This window comes from Homo sapiens, chromosome 20, assembly GCF_000001405.40.
Source record: "Homo sapiens chromosome 20, GRCh38.p14 Primary Assembly".
Taxonomy (NCBI): Eukaryota; Metazoa; Chordata; class Mammalia; order Primates; family Hominidae; genus Homo; species Homo sapiens.
Window position 1 is genome coordinate 4,324,504 of NC_000020.11, and position 5,542 is coordinate 4,330,045.

Here is a 5,542-nt window from a genome sequence, read left to right on the forward strand (position 1 = left end):
TCCCTTCAGTAGGTGGGGTGGGTGGGGTTGGTCTATGGCTTTGAATACTTTACTTATATTTTAATATCTTACTGCTGATGGCACAGAAAAATCTTTTAGTGATTTTGTGTCCCATAGATTCAGCTTTGGACAGGCATTACAAGAACACTGGGAAGGGGCCAACACTCATCTTTAGCCACCTCACTTTTGGGCTCTTTATGTTCTCCCATCCTTGTCTCTCTTTCTCCCTTGAATTCTCTAAGGAAGTGGGATGCGACAGACACTGCTGGTGCGCTGTCCATGATCGTGGGTCATACCATTGAGGTACATGCAGGCCCTACAACTTTTAGCTGCCAGCTCCTGAATCTTTCTGCCTAAGGGCTTTCTTTGGAAGCTGAGGTACATTCATCCCCTGCAGCTGGAAGTACTGGAGAATTAACTCCCACCCTACCAGAGTAATTCTCAACAATGGCAAGTGGAAGTTGGTGTATAAATACCCCAGCTTCCTAGCCGCTTGGGTGGGAGAGCTCTCTGTCATGTTCTACATTATCCTCAGAGTTCCCCAGTGTATTTGGGCTCCAGTTGCCCAATAGCAATAACTTTCTGGTTAGCACACTGTGTTGACTACTTTCTCTTCTATTCCCCGTTTCACTTCCCCACTTCCCTATCAGTATTTACCAGAATAACTTTCAATAAATAACTTGCTCTAAAATCCTTGTCTTGGGGTTTGCTTTTGGTGGAGCCTAAATAAGACAGAGGTCTTTCCCTGTAAGTAGGATGGCAAGTCTCTCAGAGGGTGGTTTAGGAAGCAGGTTGGGAAGGGATTTATAGACAGAGGGTTCTTGCCAGAGCCCACTAAACTTTTCCCTGGAGATGGGTCTTATAGACCCCTAGTGCCTCTTAGCTGTTGTCCCTGTGTGCTGCTGCCAGCTGACACTCTTGCTTTGGGTCCCCAAGATAGGCTCCAAAAAGTAGATTCATCTTAGTAAAATCTTCAGTGTCTAATGTGGTGCTCTTGTCATCCCATTAAAGAGGGAGAATATCTGGTCCCTTGGTCAAACAATAAATTCTTCAGAAAATGGTGTAATTACCCTGTGTTTACCATTTGAGTTAATCTAACTTCTACAATATAAGGTTTACTTCAACGACTCCTACCTGCATTTGGCCAGGCCCCAAAAATCTGTAAACTAGAGTAGAAAATATGCTGTCTTTTGCCTGTACAGAGCAATGACGTGTGGGGGCAGAGGTCCCAGGAGGCAAAGAAGGATGAAAGTGGCTCACAGCCTAGGCCTGCTTCATCACTCAACCCCAGGCATTTTCTTCTCTTTTCTTTTTGTTTTTGAAAAATAAGCTCCAGAGAAATGATAAGGAGTTTTAAAAATAAAAGCCAGTGGGGCAGCAGCAGCATCCCTCTCCCTGGCACCTCTCCTCTTCACCCGTGACTCTCAGCACATGCAGGACCCACAGCTCGGTCCCTAGGGCCTTGTTCTCCAGCCTCCTCCGCCACCTTTGGCCCGAGGCCTCTGCCCTGAGGTCCAGCCTGGCCAAGGGTGGCCAGCAGAGCAGGGAGAGTCGGAATGACCCACACACTCAGAGATAAGGCTCCCAATTTGTTGATTCAGGGGCTTAGTTATTCTCTAAATAAACGTTCCTGCTTCAAAAACTTTTCTTTCAAGTGGAGCTGAGTGTTGCCTTCTTACTCTTTCCCAGGGGAGAAGTTTGTGTTTTGCTTTTTCTAAATTTATGTAAACTGTTCCCACACTCACACCCACTAAATACCAAGCTCCTCTGATCCCCCCTTCTCCAGAATGGCCATGGAGCCGGGGTGCTTGGGCTGTGATGAAATCACACATCCTCTTGGAGTCCCATGGGATCAAGTGGCGGTAGGGGCAAGGGGGTTTCTGCTGCAAGACAGGAAACCTGAAGGATTGAGGACAGACAACGCCCTGAGGTCACATAAGAACAGGCAACACAATCTGAGAAAGTCAGTTACTCTGCCTCCATTTTACAGATGAGGAAATTAAAGTGTGAGGGGAGTGGGTTGAGGGGTTAGTGAATCATCCACATGAGTAATGGAAAGTTCAATCCAAGGACTCTGCCCCTATGCTTCTCTGCTTTTCCAATTGATAGTGCAACTTTGTCACTGTAGCAGTTAGCTATGGCCACATAACAAACTTCCCCAGAACTTAGTGGATTAAAACAACAACTATTTACTTAGTTCATAATTTCTATGAGTTGATAATTAACCAGGCTTAGCTGAGTAATTCTTATTCTACTCTCACCTGGGCACATTCCTATGTCTTCAGTCACTCATTTGTCACTAATATTTGATGGCCTCACTCACATGATGTGATTGGCTGGCTGTTGTCTGGTGTGATGGGCGTGGCTGAACTACATGATTTCTTATCCTCTAGAGGGCTAGCCTAGGCTTATTCACAGAGTGGTAGCTGTGGGTTTCCCAAGACCAGCAAGAAAGAAAATTCTAATGCATGAACACTTTTCATGTCACTTCTTGCATCACATTTATTACTGTTCTGTTAGTCAAGCAAGTCACACAGCTAAGCTCAGATTCAACAGGTGGAGGAAGACTTTACCTCTTGATAGAGCAGCAAAGTGACTTTGCAAGGGTGTTGATACAAGGAGGGGAACAACTTTTGGTCCTTTTTGCAATCTACCACTGTTACAAACAGTACAGTGGCCCACCAGGCCATTGGAGGGGAGGGAATAGAGCTCTGCTGTGTCCTCCAAGTGCCGTGCCCAGTGCTCTGTCATTGCCCTACACTGCTGATCATACATTATCTTGGGTTAGGCCATTTGCATCCTTCACCGTCAGTCAGTGGCAGAGAGAGAGAACCTTGAGTGGCTGAGAGATGGGACACTGGGGAGATAAGTTTTGGTGCAGGGAAAAGGATTGAAAGCAAAGAAGCAGAGGTCAGAGGAATGCCTGGGCCCAGCAGAGCAGCACTGCTGGTGCAATGTAGTGTGAACAGTGCTGAGAATATTCCATGACTCTTATTTGCCCCCCGTCCTGGACCCCGCTGTCTCCTCCTCTCAGCCTGGGCCTCCCTGTCAAGAGCATGTCCATCCCTGTTTGATTCTCTCTCTGTGGTTCCCAGGACCCTTTGTTCATAGACAAGCCTATTGATTTCCACTTTTTTTTTTTTTTAAGTCATGGAGCCATCACATACTTAATATACTATCCTTCCCAAGGGCATTGGAAATACAAATAAACGTGGATGGCTCAGACCTAACAAAGACAGTAAAGTTGTTCAGAATGATGGAAAATTAACATGTGGGGTGGCCCACAAGAGCAAATGCAATTTGCTGCAAGTAGGTTGGGGTGGGCGGCATTCTGTGAGGCCTCCCGTGTTATCTGAAAGTTTCACTGCATTTCTTGGTATACTAAATCTGCAGGCTTAGTCCTAAAACAGTATCTCAGACCAGAAGCACAAAGAACCTCAAATTATGAACTTGATAGTTGGAAGGAGTCTTAGATAACAGTGAGACCCCTCTCCTTTTACAGCCCATAACAAACAGCTCTTGGACTGGCGCTGCTTTGTGGATCCCATTTGAGCAGCTCTGCTTTAGAGGGACCTCCCTTCTCCCTCCTGCACTGTGCCAAGGAGAACTGCCCACCAGGAGTTCAGGCCACCCTGCCGCCTCCATTCCCCACCCCAGCCATGCTCAGGATATGCAGGACTCGGGAATTCCCTGTTTAAAGGCCTCAGCCCACTTCCATGTCCTGTGTGGGCATCTCCTCTGGGGTTGTCCTCTCAAAGTGAGCCACTGGTAAGTGTTCCCAGGAAGGAGGGGTTGTGAACAGAGCTTGGACTTGAAGGCTCAGTGGTCAGCATGTGTGCGTGTGAAACCCCTTTATGGTGTGGGTGGAGCCTTGTGCGAGAAGAGGGTGGGCTGCAAGTCCAGGAGGAGGCCCTGAACTCTCGTATTACCACCCAACAATGTTAGAGACGATTTTGCCTCAGGGTTTATGGTTTTTCCTGCCAGGCTGTGACTGATGGAAAGCAGGGAGGTGGAGGCTGAGAACCCCGGCTCTGTAGTCACTGCTGCCCACAGACAGCAGACCTACCAGCCTCGGCACGCTACCTCTTGGAGGGGCTGAGTCCACAGGAGTTGGGAGTTTCTTGCCAGTCCTCCCGCCAGCATGTCCCTGCCTTCCTAGCCCTCACCGAGCCTTATTCTTATTCTCTCTCACATAGAACCTGGCTTGGACCCTTTCATGCTCCTGATCTCTGTCCTGTTTGCTATCTCATGGGCTGACTCAGTAGCAGTCAGAGGTCCCTGGCAAGCAGGATGACTTCTCCCACATTCTATTAGCTCTGGCTCAGGCCGACAGCCACATGGACAGTCTCGCCTGTGGAAGTTCTTCCATCACCCTGACTCAGTTTCTGAACTGAAACAGTCCCCATGAAGTCCTAAGATCTGAGTTATTTGGTGTATCCACCTCCCCCACAGGGTTGATGGTCTCCAAGAGCAAGGGCTGCAGGCTTGATCTTGGCATGGGCTGAGGATCTCACCAAGGTCCTCGTCTGCTCCTTTAAAGGTGGGAGAGACCGTCTCTTACTTTCCTTATCACTAATACCAACTGGATTTTCAAGTCTCAGGTGTGTTTGAAGTTGGCCTTTGGAGACTCCTACACACACACACACGTGCGCATGCATACACACACCTCACACATGCTTACACATATATTCACACACAAACTTGCGTACATACATGCTTATATACACACTCAGGCTCACTTATAAACATAAACACACATAATTGTGTGCATGTTTGTGTATGCACACATGCACAAACACACACAATCACAGTTGTGTCTGTGCTACTCCCATTGCTTTTTGGCTCTGATGGCGCTCAGCAGATGGAGGTCCAGGCTCCCTAGATGCTGTCTTGCCAGCTGAGAGGCTGAACTACTGCCGAAATTTCCAGGGTCCCCTTGTGGCATTTCTTGATAACAACATGAGCTAAGTTCATTTCTCAAGGCTGTAAACTATCGTAGCCATCCTGCCCTTTCAGATGTCAGCTTATTGACGCTGGGGCTTGGTTTGCCTCTCTCCTCTCAAGATCAAGCTGGCAGCCTGGAACGTTTTTGAGGTTGGAGACCAGGAAGCCTCCAAACCTCACCATGACCTCCTACGTGTCATGCCAGCTTGAGCAAGTGCAGTGACTTAGAGCAACCAGCAAGAGAGGCCTGGAAAACTCCCTCCTTGGCTGCCTAAGGCAGCAAGAGAGACCAGAACAAAGATGCCTCACATTATTTAGGATGGATCCCATTGATGATGAATGTAAAAGTGCTTTGCAAACTGTGAAGCGCTGAGCATATGTAAGAGAAGATGTTCATTTTGAAGACCACAACAGGTTTGCTGTCTTCTCGGTGAGTGGAGGTTGTACCTTCTGCAGAACACTTCCTAAGACCAAATCAGCCAGGGGTGTCTCTTTGGCAGTCAGCGAGAGGCTGGGTGCCCATTCCCAGGCTTGGCTCTGTATAGTCTGCAAGGAAAACAAGAGTCATGGGACTCACTCCAGGGAACTCCCCTCCGGG

General features: G+C 48.1%; 1 annotated feature.

The window, feature by feature from the left end:
- Window positions 1,566–2,765: an enhancer, noted in NCBI's record as "BRD4-independent group 4 enhancer chr20:4306716-4307915 (GRCh37/hg19 assembly coordinates)". NCBI's record gives its function as "activates an origin of replication core promoter dependent on BRD2, P300/CBP, MED14 and CDK7 cofactors, and independent of BRD4, by STARR-seq in HCT116 cells {active_cell/tissue: HCT116}" and the evidence as "EXISTENCE:reporter gene assay evidence [ECO:0000049][PMID:35650434]".